At 40.1% G+C, this 17526-nt stretch overlaps 1 annotated feature.

Moving 5' to 3' along the window:
- Positions 516–1016: an enhancer, noted in NCBI's record as "H3K27ac hESC enhancer chr2:225124367-225124867 (GRCh37/hg19 assembly coordinates)". NCBI's record gives its function as "activates a minimal SCP1, AML or CMV promoter by ChIP-STARR-seq in primed H9 embryonic stem cells {active_cell/tissue: H9 hESC(primed)}" and the evidence as "EXISTENCE:reporter gene assay evidence [ECO:0000049][PMID:30033119]".

The raw sequence follows: 17526 nt of genomic DNA on the forward strand, positions 1-17526 counted from the left end.
AGGTGCAAAAGATCAACCCTTTGGGAAGCACCGGTCGAAGAAGACAAAACACATATGGTATGAAAACAGTTATAAGTTTCTGGGGGAATTCTGAAGAGAGGGAGGAGGTTAATGAGAACAGGAATTATGAGGAAAGCCTTCTTGAAGGAGGTAGGAATTGAGGTAGGTCTAGAAGGTTGTATAAGATTTAGGGAAATAAAGATTAAAAACAGTGCATCTTAGGCAAGAGGAATCCTGTGTCTGCAGAAGTAGTGGCAAGGATGTGTGGGGCCCACAAGAATGATGAAGCAGGCCTCTGTGTGACCCTGAGCTCATTACATAACCACTCTGATCCTGTCTGATCATGTGTTTGATGGAGACAATAAGAATAAGCCGGCTGGGCGCAGTGGCTCACGCCTGTAATCCCAGCACTTTGGGAGGCCCAAGCAGGCGGATCACGAGGTCAGGAGTTCCAGACCAGCCTGACCAACGTGGTGAAACCCCGTCTCTACTAAAAATATAAAAATTAGCTGGGCGTGGTGGCACATACCTGTAATCCCAGCTACTCAAGAGGCTGAGGCAGGAGAATCGCTTGAACTGGGGAGGCTGAGGTTGCAGTGAGCCAAGATTGTGCCACTACATTCCAGCCTGGGTGACAGAGCAAGACTCTCAGAATAGTGTGTAAAACAGGGGCCAGGCACGTTGGCTTATGCCTGTAATTCCAGCACTTTGGGAGGCCAAGGCAGGCAGATCATCTGAGGTCAGGAATCCAAGACCAACCTGGCCAACAGGGTGAAACCCCATCTCTACTAAAAATACAAAAAAATTAGCTGGGCATTGTGGTGCGTGCCTTTAGTCCCAGCTTCTCGGGAGGCTGAGGCAGGATAATCGCTTGTGCCTGGAAGTGGAGATTTCAGTGAGCTGAGATTGCGCCACTGTACTCCAGCCTACGTGACAGAGGAAGACTGTCTCAAAAAAAAAAAAAAAAGAACAGTGTGTATCCAAGATAAGTATCCAAGAAAAAAGTGGAAATAACCATTGACTGTAGAATGTGGCTAGATTATAGAATGTTATAAATTTGAGAAGATGAAATCGTAAGGAATAGTAATGATAAGTTTTTGAACAGAGGGGCAGGTTAATGAAATGGAATAGTCAAGGAGGATCAGCCCTGGCAGTATGTTTGGGCTGTATTATGGGACAGGAAGGGATATTCTGACATTCTGTTACTGACCAAGTCATTCACGTAAATTCACCCTTTCATGAAGGCATCACCAACTGCAATGCCATCATGCACCCAGAAAGGGATTTGGGCAGAAATCCATGACTTTTCTCACCTCACGTGTTAAAAGTCATAAAAGTCCCTTCTGAGTTATTCTTAGAAAGAAAAATACATTTGCTAACAACATACTCATTAGGAACTGACAGTGCCTTCCCTGAACACCCGTTTTAGCAAGGAAGTTACAGTATTATGACATGCTGATATATCTATTTCTAGAGTTTTTGAGGGGTTTTTGTTTTGGATTTGGTTTGGTTTTGGTTTTTGAGGAGGGAAACAGGGAGTGACTTGACGGTAAAATACACTTTCATGACAGAAATAGACCACGTGGTTTTAATTAGGGAGGAGCATAGTGTCTCTTCAGCTTAGCAGTAAATCAGGGCTTTGTGGGGCCCAGTCGGCTCTGACAACTGAAGCTTAGCCTCCCCACGTTGCAGAGAAGTCAGCTGCTAGTCTTCACATTAACTGCAGACTAAACTGCAGAGTACAGCTTGGCTTTCCAATCACACTCCACCCTACTTCCACCAGCAAATGCAGAAAAATAGAACTGACCCCCAGGGAGACTGGGAAAGGCTCTGTATTACTTTCCGGCTTAATAATTCTCTCTACCCCCATCATTTCAATTCATCCAGCAGAAAGGCACTCAGATCAACATCTCTCATCTCCAGGGGAAAGAGTCTCAGAAATTACAAAGTACCCTAAACCAATTTCCTATACTACTTTTGTATAGAAAAAAAAAAAATTATCCTGGACAGAGGAGTGCAGACTGGGTTCCTGCCCAGTTATAGGTAATGCAATATTCCTAACGGAAGCCACGGAGGCAGAACACACACACATACACCAAGAATCCTCACATTTTTCCTGTCTCATCTGAATGCCTAAAGTGTACACTTTTGTTGATAGTCAGCATAAGAGGAATAAATGGCCTTTGTAGAAATGTTTTTAAAGGAGTAAAAAACCCAATATTTCAAATTTCCTGCTTTATTAAAATCTTTGAAAGTTTTAGTGTGGATGGAGGTCAAATGCATTTGCTAAATTATGTTTTTTGAATTCTACTGGTTGAATCATCTGTGAACTTGGGCATCCCTAATGCTAACTTTGCAGAGAGAAACTGCAGCTGACTCCTAATACGTTAAGGGTTACTAGAGAAACATAACATTATGAAAGGAAATGTATTCATCCTTTATGAGTCTGTGTTCTTACATCCAGTAAGACTTTCTTATTGTGGGATTAAAGACAAGATAAGGATAGACAGGAGTAGTTAATACAGAAGATAAGGTCTTAAACTCCACTCTGCAAAAGTATTGGCTGGGGAACCCAATTTCTGGATCCCAATCAGAGATTCTGAGGTGAAAAGGAATCTGCATTTTCAACATAAGTCCCAAGTAATTTTGTTTTTTGGTTTTTGGGGTTTTTTTTGAGACTGAGTCTCTCTCTGTCACCCAGGCTGGAGTACAGTGGCACAATCTCGGCTCACTGCAACCTCCGCCTCCTTGGTTCAAATGATTCTCCTGCCTCAGCCTCCTGAGTAGCTGGGATTACAGGCATGCACCACCATGCCCAGGTAAATTTTTTTGTATTTTTAGTAGAGACAGGGTTTTGTCATGTTGGCCAGGCTGGTCTCGAACTCTTGACCTTAAGTGATCCACCCGCCTCTGCCTCCCAAAGTGCCGGGATCACAGGCGTGAGCCACTGTGCCAGGCCCATCCCACATATTGCTGATGCAAATTGTCCTTGATCCACACTTTGAGAAATTCTGGTGGAGTTAAATCACTTTAGATGCTGGTTTTGAAAGACAAGACCACCTCCCAGCACATGGCCTATATTGCGGCATTTCAGGGGATTCAGCGTAGCTGAGGCCTCATTATGACAAGGCATGGATTAGCAGTATTTGCTTGAGTGAGGGAAAAAGCCTCAAAAAAATCCATAATTTGTCAAGTGCTGGGTGTTACATGACATCATATTAGGTATCAGGGAATTAATACACATTCTTCACACCTACCTGGCTCTTCAAAGGACAAACATTAATTTTCAACTAGAGCTACATAACCACTTGCCTTCCCGTAGGGCACATCAAAATCCCGCAAATCTATTTTTGATCGCTTCTCAGAATAAAAGATTTTTTACCTAAGAAAATTCCATGCTGTAAAGATTTTAAATTTGTAGTTACCAACCCACATATTTCTAAGAATGTTACGAGATTTCAGTCATGAAGCAAAAGGTATAATAAGATCTCTTATAAATAACAACAACCTTGGAAACTTAAAAAAAATAGGCATCAATGAGAAAAATCTATCCTTGACCATGCCTCTTGTTACTGCTCCCTAACTCCAAAGCACACCCCAAGAAATTATTGGGGATGATACACTAAAATCAACAAGCCAACAGGTGCTAAGGGAAAGAATCTGGAGTGTGAAGAGTAAGGTTTGAATTTTAATGAGCTTCATCATAAGCTTCCTTTAAACGTTCCTCCAGGAAGACACTTTTGTGCCGTCATGTTCAGAACAGGCTCACATCTGCGCTCTGCCTCATATGAGCTGTGTGACTTAGGGCAGGTGAGATGGCCTCTCTGAACATCAGTTTCCAGATCTTTAAATGTGAAGCTGATAATGTCCTACAAGTGTGGTTATTAAGAATAAATAAGATGGCTGGGTGTGGTGGCTCACACCTGTAATCCCAGCACTTTGGGAGGCCGAGGCGGGTTGATCACGAGGTCAGGCGATCAAGACCATCCTGGCTAACACAGTGAAACCCCGTCTCTACTAAAAATACAAAAAATTAGCTGGACATGGTGGCGGGTGCCTATAGTCCCAGCTACTCGGGAGGCTGAGACAGGAGAATGGCCTGAACCCGGGAGGCGGAGCTTGCAGTGAGCTAAGATCACACCACTGCACTCCAGCCTGGGCAACAGAGCGAGACTCTGTCTCAAAAACAACAACAAAAAAAGTAAATAAGAGAGAGAGTGGATGGTTACTAAATCCAATATTTTCCCCATGATAGTGTGAACATTTAATTCAGAAAGAAAGAAAAGAAAAGAAAGCAAGGGGGATGAAGTAATTTAATAAATTTAAAGTCTTTTTTTAAAAGTAGTTCAGAAAATGCAATATATGAGATCACAGTGGTTAAGACACAGCTTTTAGTCAAAGAAACTCAGTTTTAAATCCTGATCCAGTCCCTTAGTAACCCTGTGGCTTTGGGCAAGTGATTTAAAATCTTTAAGCCTGGGCTTCTCATCTTAAAAATGTGACTAAGATAGAAATACTGTTGAGAATTTCTAGGAGAAAGAGTATAAACTGCTTAGTCTAAGGTCTGGGAGAAGATAAGCCCTTGCTCTGTGATAGTCCTTATTCATATCATTGTTTCATTATTACTCATTAACAATAAAGGATAGATGGAGATCCTTGAATGTTCCTTTCCTTGCAAACTTATTTTGGTGCACGTCCCATAAGTTTGCAAAAGATCAAATTACATGATCTTGGCCTTCTGGCAGAACAACTTTATCAGTCTCAAAAGTAACCTCTAAACTCTTTTTTCCAGATAACTGGAGGCTGCCCACATAATATTTGGCTTCTAAGTCTTGGAATGATTGTCATTTTGCAGAGAGCTCCTGCCAGCTGAATTGGAGACCAGGCATGCTGGTTACAAAGTCAGTGAATCTTCTAACCCTTTAAATAAGAAAGTGATTTAATCTTTACAGTTTAAATCACAAAAAAATGCCTATATCCCTAAGAATCCATTGAATTCTGATAAAATGTGGGCCTTGCGTACCCTTAGAGGGATAAAAATGTATACAGATTCAATTCAATCATTCAGGCTAATAAAAGAAAGACTTATAAATGATATGCAAATTAGGTAACACATACGCAAATCATAAGCCAAGTCTTTCTGTGAATTAAACAATCAAGAATTGTCTCTACCAAGTATTTCTGAAGAGAATTAGGAGGAAAGTATAACTGTCATCTGGTAACATGCAGGTAAAATATCCAGGCGTATGGAGGAGGGGGAGGGGAGAAAAAGGATGTGGATGATTCTGCCGTTTCAGATCCTTGGAAAGTGTGTTTGGGGAGAGGAGCTGGGAGTTTCTGCTCCCAGCCAGACCGTGTTATTCCAAGCACATGTTGTCAAGAGTTAGTGGCAGCTCGTTTCTCAGAATGACTCTAGCTTTCAGAGGGTTCTGAACTCAACACTTGTTTTAGATATTCTGAGGTGTTCACTAGTCCAAGAACCTCTAATTCCTTGGAAAATAGCCATATTTACAAAACTTGTTTTCTCTTTTTTTGGAAAGACCATTTTCTACCCATGCTTGAAAACTTTATTTCATACATGTTTCCTGTGCCAGGCCCTATGGGAAGCACTCCGCATGCAGTATTTTACTGAATGTCCAAGACTTAGGCACATGAGCCCTAAGAGACCTGCAGGAGTAGGGAGACTATGAATCTCTCTCTTGACTCCAAACCCATGTTCGTTCTCCAAACATTAACGAAAAACTACAAGAGAATGATGCAGAGTTCCGCCCTCTACAGAGGCAGGCATTATCTAGCAGCGGAAATAGACCCGTCTGACGCCAAATGAGATGGAGAAAATAAACACTGCCAATGAAATACTGGGGGTGGGGCAATTAAAGAAAGGAAAATTGCATCTACTTGGAGCCATCAGAAGAGATTTCATGGAGGAGGTGGTACGTGAACTGCGCTTAATGTATCTGTTGCAGGGGGAGATGGGAGACATTCCAGAGAATAGAGCAACAAGAGGTAAAAACATGCAGAGGAGTTCCTGAACCACAAATAGTAGACTTTGGCCAGAACGTGAGTTTTGGACATTGGAAGGATAGGACTTTTTATAGTAGTTACTAAACACATGTTGTGCTAGTTAATTCTGTTGGTAAATAAGAGATTTCTTTTTCTTTCTTTCTTTTTTTTTTTAATTATACTTTAAGTTCTAGGGTACATGTGCACAACGTGCAGGTTTGTTAGGGACATGGATGAAGCTGGAAATCATCATTCTCAGCAAACTATCGCAAGGACAAAAATACCAAACACCGAATGTTCTCACTCATAGGTGGGAATTGAACAATGAGAACACTTGGACACAGGAAGGGGAACATCACACACCGGGGCCTGACGTGGGGTGGGGGGAGGGGGGAGGGATAGCATTAGGAGATATACCTAATGTAAATGATGAGTTAATGGGTGCAGCACACCAACGTGAATAAGAGATTTCTAAAAGCTCTTTATCAAGAGAAACGGTGACCTAAGAACTGTGCCTGAGGAAGATTACCCTAGAGCTGTGTATAGGAAGGAGTGGGTTGGAGGAGATGGTAGGCTGGAAGATTCATCAGATGGCTTGTTTAGGATCTGATGAGGATGGCAGAGAAGGTGGGAGAGATGGCTGGGTGGTGGGTGAGGGCCCCACGACCACTCTCTGTCTTCACTAATATTTCCAGCACATAGCACATCACCCGGTACTAAATGAGTACCAATGTGGAATGGATGGAAACCAGGCAGGAAAAGAGTGAGCAGGTGAGTGAACCAAGGAAGGAGGAGGAATAGAGCGAGGGAAAGTATTAGAGACATTGCTGACTAGGACTTTGGGAACTTGAGTTAAATATTCTCAACTTGTAAATGTCAATCCAAAAAAAAAAAGAGTGCATATAAAAACTGGTAAAATCTGAGTGAGATCTGTTGTCTAGTTCATTGTATTCTGTCAGTGTCAGTTTCCTCGTTCTGATAATGTGCTATGTATGTAAGATGCTAACATTGAGGAAAGTTGGATGCAGGGGACATAAGACTTCTCTGTACACTTTTGGCAGCTTCTTGTGCGTTCATAATTAGTTCCAAACAAAAAGAAATGTTAATTGTAAGTCAACATAAGTTGCAAAACACTTTCATTGCCTTGTTCTATCAGACGGCTGTCCTTGTTCTTGCTTCCTGTCTTTGGCAGCTTCCCAGGCTAAGGCAGGACAGGATAACCGGATGGGTGAGATGGCCTCTGTTAGGCACCTCAGACTCAGTGACATGCCCCTGAATCTCTGATACTCTTCAAAAACATTGCCTTAATCTCCCAAAAGAGTTGCTGTTTTTTCTGGAGGTATCAAAGTTTACAAGTTTTCCACTTCAAAACCTTTCTTATTCCGTGATCCAATACATTAAAAGAGCTTTAAAAATGTTATTGTCTTTCTATTAAAACTTTCTTTTATATTTCCTGCAACTCGGAATTGTTCAAATTATTAAAATTCCCCATGTCTTACTCTTCAGTCTACATAAGACATAATTCAATTTTTTTCTATTTACTTTTAATTGTTACCATGAAATAGGTCGAGCTTGAAGTACTCATACTTAATGAAAAAGCTTTTTAAAATTTTTAAAGTAAATGATTATAATGAAATAGTTAAATTCTGTCCTACAGTGAATCTATTACTCTGAAATAGCTCCAAGTATATTTAGAATAAAAGATGAGAAAGAAGAGGAAATTGTGGGCAACAGACATTTTTCATCACTGAGTTTGGAAGAACTATACACTAAACAAGTGCTACTCAAAGACTGGAAGTTTGAATATTATTTAACTATAAGGAGATGGTACACCATGTGTCTTCCTCTATAATAAATTTACAGCATCTAGACATACAGTAAACACCTAGTAGAGCTTTCCTTTCTCCACCTTTCTCCATCTCTTTTTCCCCCTTCTTCCTTCATTTTCTTATCTTAGAGAATGTGTCATCCATATTATACTGGACAACTTCCAATAAAAAACCTGCCACATTTTCTAGGAAATAGGCTTGTCTGTTTCTTAATTTCAAGAGGCACATATAACCTGTAGGAAAGAAAACACATTGAGCTTTCATGTCACTTGAGCTTCAAAACCTAAATGTAGAAAACATCTCTAAATAAATAGACTCCAGGTTTCTTCAAAAAGTTGTTACTATGGAAGGAGTTATGGTCACTACTCTTAAGTTTTCTAAATATCTTATGAATATAATTCTGTTCAGCATTTGTGTAACGCTACTGTTTTCCAAATGCTTCATTTAAACCAACTCATTTGGTTAAAAATGTCATATGACCATCTTTAAATATTAAAAAGGTATATTAGGATCTAAAACGTTTTTATACATTATCACTCAAACAGTATGAGTTAAAAAGTTTGGAGTGCCATTGATCATTGATCAATATTCATGAATTTTTTCTGAAGTTCATTTTTTTAACTGAATAAGTTATATAAGTTGACGTTTTATGATACTATGGTCTTTTTTTTTCTTTTCTTTTTTTTGAGACTGAGTCTCACCCTGTTGCCCAGGCTGGAGTGCAGTGGCGCAATCTCGGCTCACTGCAAGCTCTGCCTCCCGGGTTCATGCCATTCTCCTGCCTCAGCCTCCCAAGTAGCTGGGACTACAGGTGCCCACCACCACGCTCGGCTAATTTTTTGTATTTTTAGTGGAGATGGGGTTTCACCGTGTTAGCCAGGATGGTCTCGATCTCCTGACCTCATGATCTGCCCATCTCGGCCTCCCAAAGTGCTGGGATTACAGGCGTGAGCCACCGCACCCAGCCGATACTATGGTCTTAAACAGATCATAATACATTACTCTTTTCTGTGTGCCATTATTCCTCCCCGATTTTTTTTTTTACATCTGTGTGATCATTTCAACCATCTACTTTGCCACACAAAATCCATGTTTCTTAAAAACTCAGAATGCTGTTAATTCCTAATTACTACCCGCTTTTAAGTTTCCTTAATTATATGCTAAAATAAATGTATGCATATAAAATGCTTAGAACAGTGCCTGGCTCACAATCAGTATTTAATAAATTATAGATATAATTATTATCAATAAGTTATATTTGCTACCTCTGCTTTATGCCTTTTAGAAGCACGATTTTAAAAATTCTTTAGCTGAGACTTTTAATTTTTATTTTTTGGCATTATTTAATATTTTGCTTTGTTTGTAAATCTACCATAAGGAATATGTGCAAAGACAAAGAACACTAGAAAACAGAGAAAATACTGAGCAATCCCCCATGTTCAAAACTGGTTTTGAGAAAAAAGCATTTTAAAAATTCTCCAACCTTCATTGCCTACTGCCTCTATCTAACTGCCGGAAAGATGTGGTGTACCTCTCATTATTAGTCTGCAATCTATCAGGCTATGTACACTATATAGTTCAGCAGTTCTAGTTCAGAGAAAATTAGCTTACACAAACAAAAAGCTGAGTCACTCTATAAGAAAACCAAGCCTTCCATTTTTATTTTTGGCATTGAAGCCCTGTTGCCTAGAGATTATGTTTACTGTAGAGTTAAAGAACGTTCATTTTCTTGGAACATTTCAGAAGAGGAGGTAACTCTCTGGGATGATGAGGTCATTTCTGAAGTTAACTGGGAGAGAAGTGAGTCTCTTGTAAGGGAAACAAGAACTTAGACGGAGCCCAAGTGAGCCGCAGAAAGGATCTTTCTTGGGTTTTTTGTTGGTTTGCTTTTGTTTTTGTTTGCTTTTGAGATGGAGTTTTGCTCTTGTTGTCCAGGCTGGAGTGCAGTGGTGTGATCTCAGCTCACTTCAACCTCTGCCTCCCTTGTTCAAGCAATTGTCCTGCCTCAGCCTCCCCTGTAGCTGGGATTACAAGCATCCACCACCACATCCAGCTATTTTTTTGTATTTTTAGTAGAGATGGGGTTTCACCATGTTGGCCAGGCTGGTCTCAAACTCCTGACCTCAGGTGATCCACCCACCTCGACCTCCCAAAGTGCTGGGGTTACAGGCCTGAGCCACCGCGCCTGGCCATCTTTCTTGGATTTCACCATGTAGACAGTAGTTTCCAATAGTTCAGTTTAGGCCATTTGTTAACTAAAGGTCACAGATACGCCCTGAGTTTTTGGAAAACCTGCAGGTCAGCTTAACTTTGGGACTTTCACTGTTCCTATTTATGCCACCTAAACCACCTAATAGGCTGTGACCTAAATAACCAATCAGAACTCATCAAAGATCAAGCAATCAAAACTAAGCAAGTTTGAATCCTTCATTCACATAAGAGGACCTGAGAGGGAACCTAGGTGGGCACACTCTCTATAAAAAATAAACCCTTTTCTTATTATCTGGAATGCACTTCCAGTTAATACTGAAGCTACATCTCTGCAGTTTGCAACTTTTCACTGGAATAAAACCTCTTTTTTCTAAATCTCTTTTCAGGGAACTTCTTCACAGGGTTAAATTGTGTCCTCCCAAAAAATATAGTATACTGGAGTTCTAGCCCTTAGTACCTTAAAGTGTGACCTTATTTGGAGATAGGATCTTTACAGAGGTAATCAAGTTAAAATAAGGTTATTAGAGTGGGCCCTAATCCGATATGACTGGTGTCCCTATAAGAGAGAAAATGTGGACACAGAGAGGCAGAGAGAGAGATGTATTGACAGAGCATGATGTAAAGACATGCACACGGCAGAACATCCTATGAAGACAGGTTGTGCTGCCATGAGTCAGGAGACTACCAGAAGGTAAGAGGGACACATAAGACCGATCCTTCCCTGGTACTTTCAGGGAAAGCATGGCCCTGCCAACAGCCTGACCTCAGACTTCCAGCCCCCAAACCATCAGACAATACATTTCTGTTGTTTAAGCCACCCAGCGTGCAGTACTTTGTTACAATAGCCCCAGAAATACATTGGTGAAATTAGGCTGAGTCCAGTTCTCATTGTCACTGGCGTTAGATTCTACGGATCTTGCTTTCTTCACTGCAGTATCAACCACTGATCATCTGTGACCTTTATGGCTGATTGAATCAAGGAACTCCAGGCCTCAAAATATGGAAGACTGAATGGGACCAGATGGACATTTCAGAGAAGATCTGCACCAGAAATATTGATTGTGAGGTAGTAAAGAATGTCATAAAGCCAAAAATACAGAGATGACAAAATTATAGAAATGGAGAATAGATCAGTGGTTGCCAGGACTTAGAGAGGGAGAGAAGGATCTGAGCATAAAAGAGTAGTGCTAAGGAACTCCCTCATGGTAACGGAGCAGTTCCGTGTCTTGTTAGCTCTGGTGTTACACAAATCTATACGTGGGGTAAAATCATACAACTATGCACAGAGCATGTAAAAAAAAAGAGTGTATTCAAAATCTGGTGACATCCAAGTAATATCTGTAGTCTAGTTAATTGTACTGTTCTAATGTCAATTTCCTAGGCTTAATAACGTACTGTTGTTAAGTAAGATGTTAGTTACAACTGGAGGAAGCTGGGGGATGGGTACGCAGTGTCTCCTGGTAATATTTTTGCAATTTCTTGTGAGTCTGTAATTCTCTCAAAATAGAAAGTGTTTTATCAAAAAGAAAGGTTGGCTGGAACCTAGAAGCTAGAGGTCTTAGTTCATTAATTTCTACTATTTATGTGGTTTCAACCTTTGACCTTGATGGCCCTGGTGTAATCGCTTGTTAACTTAACACTATAGTTCAGAATGTGATACTTTAATAATCACAGCCAGTTTTTAAAAATGGATGTCAAGGGCAAAGAGAGCAAAATGTTAAGCATGCACCGTGGAACATGTTAGAATTTCAGTTATTAATCTGACTCTCATAATTTCTGATCTGATTTGAACCTGTTAAATAGCTAACACACTCCAAAGTTACATCTGTGTTTCATTGGTTGTCAGCTGGTGACTGCTGCAATTTTCACATTGAGATTATCTAATTCTGTACCAGCATGATTTTCACTTAAAAAAAATGAGTTTATGAAATGTAATCATTGATTCTAAGAAGTGTTCCAGACTTAATCATTAGTATCTTTTAAACTTCTCCCTGGTGCTTCTTTAGAGATGTAATCAAATCTGATGCTCTTCAGGAAAATTTTCAGGAAATATTCATATATTTTGTTTCCAAATTCATTTTTTAAATGGTGGTACTTAAAATACATTGGTAGCAGAATAACCAAGCTACAGAACAGGATTATGGATGATCCCATTGGTGTATGAAATATCTATGTGTGGGTACATGTGCATTTATTTTAATATATGAATAGGAAGAATAGACATCACACTGTTAACAATGATTACTACTGGAAGATTGAAATTGCAGGAGACTCATTCTCTAAGGAATACGTATATTTCCAAAATATTTAGTCAATAAAGACCAAAGTGATATTTGATGCCCTTCCCAATCATACTGGTCAACAATCAGCATGTGTCCACCTCATTCTTCTATCACTACACAAACAAGCACATACACAGTGTCTATTAGCAGATCACTAACCCTGCAGTAATGATGCTGAGGAAGTCTTAGATTATAGGGAAGAATCCCAGGTATTATTTTCTTTTGTTTCTTTACCTCTTGCATTTTAATCCAGCCTAACTGTAGCTGTACATCTCAATCCAGCTAAATCACTATATCCTGTTCCAAATTCTTTAACCCCCCCGCTTTTTTTGGCAGCCTCAGAACCCTTGGGTTTACAGCATTGGCCTCCATCTCACCTCTAATGTAGAGAATGTGGTGTTTACAAGTAGTCTGTTGTGTCTGAACCTTAACTTGGTTACTCCTATGGCACAGAGTCTTCTGTGGGAGTCCTTCCTCTCAGCTTCAACCTGATCCCTGTGTTCCTCTGTTCTGCTAGTGATGGCTGGGGCAAAGAATGCCCTGCTTAGCACTGCAGGTGAATTGTGAGGGAGAGAGGAGCCTAGGTGCCAGCAGCCTGGAAAACATGCAGCAGGGACTGAACATGGTTATACTTGGGCAGAGCATAACCAGAGCACAGTAACATCAATAAGGACATAAAGAAGATAGGAGCTTGCTGCCTGATGTGGTTTTTGTACATCCAGCTCCCATACACATGTATTCAAGTCTAAGAAGTAAAGGGAGACCCAGAACTCTCCAGGAATACAGGAAAGAGAAAGACAACATACATGATGAGTCACTAATCTCCTAAATAGGCATGTGTGGAAAAGGAGAGGGTTCTACCTTTGCAGATAAATCACGGCTGGGCAGGGGGTGGGCAGTGCTGCATCTGGAGAGGGTGCCACAAAGTAGCAGGGTCACAGAAGTCTTCAAAGACCGTGTCATACTGAGAAGTTGACCCTCTGAAGTCACTGACCCAGGACAGAAGATAAGTTTGTTGACAGTCTGAGCCCTCTTCTTTTGAAACCCTCCCTATATAGAGAACAGGGCCAAAGTCCAAGACACAATCATGACAAAAACCCTGGCCCTCACCCTTTATGCGAGAAGCTGAAGATCAGTTCATCAATTACCAGCGGGATTGCGGTGAGAGGACCTCAGCTCTGAAAGATTCATGCTTCATAAACTTGAACTCTGATGAGAGATATCATCCTTTCCCCTGGAAATTGTGTCTGGGAATGCTCATGCAGAAGTTTTCGCAGTCTCAGGGATTTCAAGAATGCATTTTAAGAACTTTGCTACATTTCCTCAAAGAAGGTTAAAACTCAGTGGAAAAACAGGAAGGTCTTAGTGTGGAATTTAGAATACTTAAGAAAACTATGGGGGAAATGAAGTTAGAAAAAAATTAATAACAAAGCAAATGCCAAAATTAATAGGCTTAGTAAAATAGCAAAATCTCTTTGGACTAGACTTTTAACAGAAAACTCATCTAGTGAAGCTCAGTGTTTCTCAAAAGAACAATAAAAAGATCCCAAGAGTTAGAGGTGGGAGATGGGAAGCTATCCTATATGAAAAAGTGAAGAAGGAGTGGGAAGAAGCCAAATTAATTATGTAAACATTCTAAATACAAATTAAAATTATAAGAAAAAACTTGGTCAGCTTACCCAAGAGAACACAATGAGATAGCAGGTAATTGTGCTAAAATGAAAAAAATAAACGCCAGAAATTAGATGCAAATTGCAAGCCACAAACAAAGACAAGTACAAAGTTCTTCAAATACATATGGGATGAGAAACAATAGAGAGATGTTGGCCTTTCAGATTGCTTTGTAATAAACGATAGAAAAATCTCTTAACTTATCACTGTACAGGGATCCAGTTGCAAAGTTTCTGGCAGTCAATAAATAGTAATAGTAATAATCATATAATCATAATATTACCAATATACCATAGGTATGAAATATAGGCCAGCCTTAGTCATAAAACTTTGTATTATTCCTTCATTCCCTCAACAACAGTTTTCTGAGCATTTTAGTGCACATCTTAAATGAGTAAAAGCCGGGTGCAGTGGCTCACACCTCTAATCCCAGCACTTTGGAAGGCCAAGGTGGGAGGATTGCTTGACACCAGGAGTATAAGACTAGCCTGAGCAACATAGTGAGACCCCATCTCTACAAAAAATACAAAAATTAGCCAGGCATGGTGGTGCATGCCTGTAGCCTCAGACACTTGGAAGGCTGAGACGGGAGGACTGCTTAAGTCCAGGAACTCAAGGCAGCAATGAGCTATGATTACGCCACTACACTCCAGCGTGGGTGACAAAGCAAGACACTGTCTAAAAACAAATAGTAAATCCACATAGATCACTGCATAAATATAAGTCATCAATATTGTTATTAATGTTTCTGCTTGCCCAGTATTCATTCCCCCTGTTCTGATAAGAGAATTCCTTTTCTCCCTTTAGAAATCATTGTCAATCTGTATGGGTCAGGTGGCATTGACCTCTGCTCCAAGTTTTTGGAATGTCTCCCAATCCTGACTAAGGTAGTCAGAACACCAGGCTCTTCAGCCATGGGGGGCTTATGGATGAGACCACAACCCAAGCAGAACAATGAAAACTCTCGTTGGAATATTTGCTGAATCGATACCCCTGTGAGACATGGGGTACCAAGGATCAGGTAAGCCTGGAACAACCAGAGTCATCTTGGCCACTACAAAGACAGAATATATCTAAGAGTAAGAGCAACAAGAGGAAAAATCATCCTAAGGACAAAACTTAAGTCCAGGAACACAGCTGTGATGAAACAACCCACTTTTATCTCCAGACGTTTTAGCTCCATGAGCCACTGGTTCCTTCTTCCTGCATAAGTTGGTGTGAGTTGTAACCTTGTAACCCAGAGTCCTGACGAGAAGAAATGCTTGCTATGTGCATGCTACATGATGGAGAGATATGGGGGTCCGCAACAGTTGGGGTCCCTGCCTTTATGGAGTCCAGAGTCTACCAAGGAAGACTGCCATGAACAATTAACTACAAATGTGTTGAGAGTTACAAGGAAGGAGTATAGGTTTCCAATGCCAAGGTTTAAGCACAGGTGCATCTCACTAGGTTTGAAAAATGAGGGAAGACTTCTCCAAGAAACTGACACTTATGAGACTTAAAGGATGAAAAGAAGTTCATCTAGTTTAAACAGATGACATTGAAAAAGCAAAATTCTTGCATACATACAAAACCTGTGGACAAAATCCTTACTCCATATTTTTAAAAGGGCAATTTTTAGCTCACTAATAAAACAGGCCATACAAAAAATGCAAAGTCAAATACACACATTACATAGAAATCAATGCACCTATAGATTAATCAAATATGAGATATATTAATTTCTTTATAGAATAAAAAATCATATATTAAAAAATAGCTAAAGAAATGTAGATGTCTTCATGAATGCACAATTTCAAAAAGTATTTCAGCGATGGGTACCATGGGGGAACTAACAGTACGGGGTCAGTTTGGATGGGAGGATGGTATTCTGCTCAAAGGTTGATGCATTAGTTCTGAGGGCTGAAAATTACTTCTCTAGTCTTAGTCATGTAAGCTTGAGCCATCAATATTTTAAATCCAAAAGATGATGGGATTGTAACTAGAGGATCTCTAAAAGCCCTTGCACTAATGAAATTCTATGACATGTCTCCAGTCTGATTTGTCAAAACTTAATTTTGACATATTAAAATATCATTCAGACACTAACAGCTCACTTTCCCAAGTTCATATTTCACTAAGCCCTTTATATTGCTTATTCTCCACTTGTAGCATTGTAACCTATCTACAGAACTTAATTCTTAAAGAAAGATAGAAGCTGAAGTCCATGTTTCGCATTGCGGAATGTAGAACATGGGCACAGTGTGATGCTTTAAAAAATCAAACCACACTCCCAAAGCTCCTAACAGAAGTGTATCTGGATTGATAAATTAAATGAATGAGGTATGATATAACATAATCTGTCTAGTTTCAAAGCACACATAACAAGTGGGTATGGTCTTTTCAAAGAAGCATCCTTGAGAGATGGCTCCCTCATCCCAGAAGTGTGCCTCAGCCATATACAAGTTATTTTTGGAAACTGCTTTTTTGAATTGCCATTAGAGACATTGCTCACTGCCCTTAATAGTGATAAAATTTTTCCTTTGTATGATTTTTTTAAAACAAAGAAAAGTCACTTAGCTCCAAGTCAGATGAGTTAAAGTGGGCAACTGAGCCGTAGAATTCCACTTTGATCCAAAACGTGAAACGGTGAGCTTTGTTCTCCAGTGTGCAAACTGACTCTAGGGCAGTTCCAAATAAGATCTAAGGAAAGTAAATGTTTTGAATAATGACAATATTATAAGAATAAGTATGTCACCTGCTAGGATGATTACTCAAGTACACACTCTAGGCTGACTGACACATAGATAATACTTTTTTCATTTTCTTTTTTCTTCTTCAACTTTTGTTTTAAATTCCAGGGTACATGTGCAGGATCTGCAGGTTTGCTCCACAGGTAAACATGTGCCATGGTGGTTTGCTGCACAGATCAACTCATCACCTAGGTATTAAGCCCAGCATCTATTAGCTATTCTTCCTGATGCTCCCCCTCCCCCCACATCCCCACAACAGGCCCCAGTGTGTGTTGATCCCCCGATGTGTCCACGTGTAGATAATTTTTTAACACCTACAATACCAAATTAAATATATGTGGAATTAAAACTGGGGGCCCCTCTGCTATGGTTTGAATGTATGCATCCTTCCAAAATTCATATGTTGGAAGCTAACCCTCAAGGTGATGGGATTACCTTTGGGAGGTAATTAAGCCATGAGGGTTCACCCTCATGAATGAGATTAATACTCTTACCAAAAGGGCTTGAGGGAGTGAGGTTGTCCCTTCTCCATCCCTTCTGCCATGTGAGGATGCAGCAACAAGGAGCCATTGTGGAAGCAGAGAGGAAGCCCTCACCAGACACCCAAGTCCACTGTCACCTGGATCTTGGACTTCCCAGCCTCCAGAACTGTGAGAAACAAGTTTCTATTGTTTGTAAGCTACCTCAGTTATTTTGTTAAGGCAGCAAAAACAGACTAAGACCTTCTCCATGACTATAATTCTCTGTGAAATTCATCATTTCAAAATGTTTTAAAGCCTCCATCATGAGCCATACCCT

The sequence above is a fragment of the Homo sapiens genome, chromosome 2 (genome assembly GCF_000001405.40).
Source record: "Homo sapiens chromosome 2, GRCh38.p14 Primary Assembly".
NCBI lineage: Eukaryota > Metazoa > Chordata > Mammalia > Primates > Hominidae > Homo > Homo sapiens.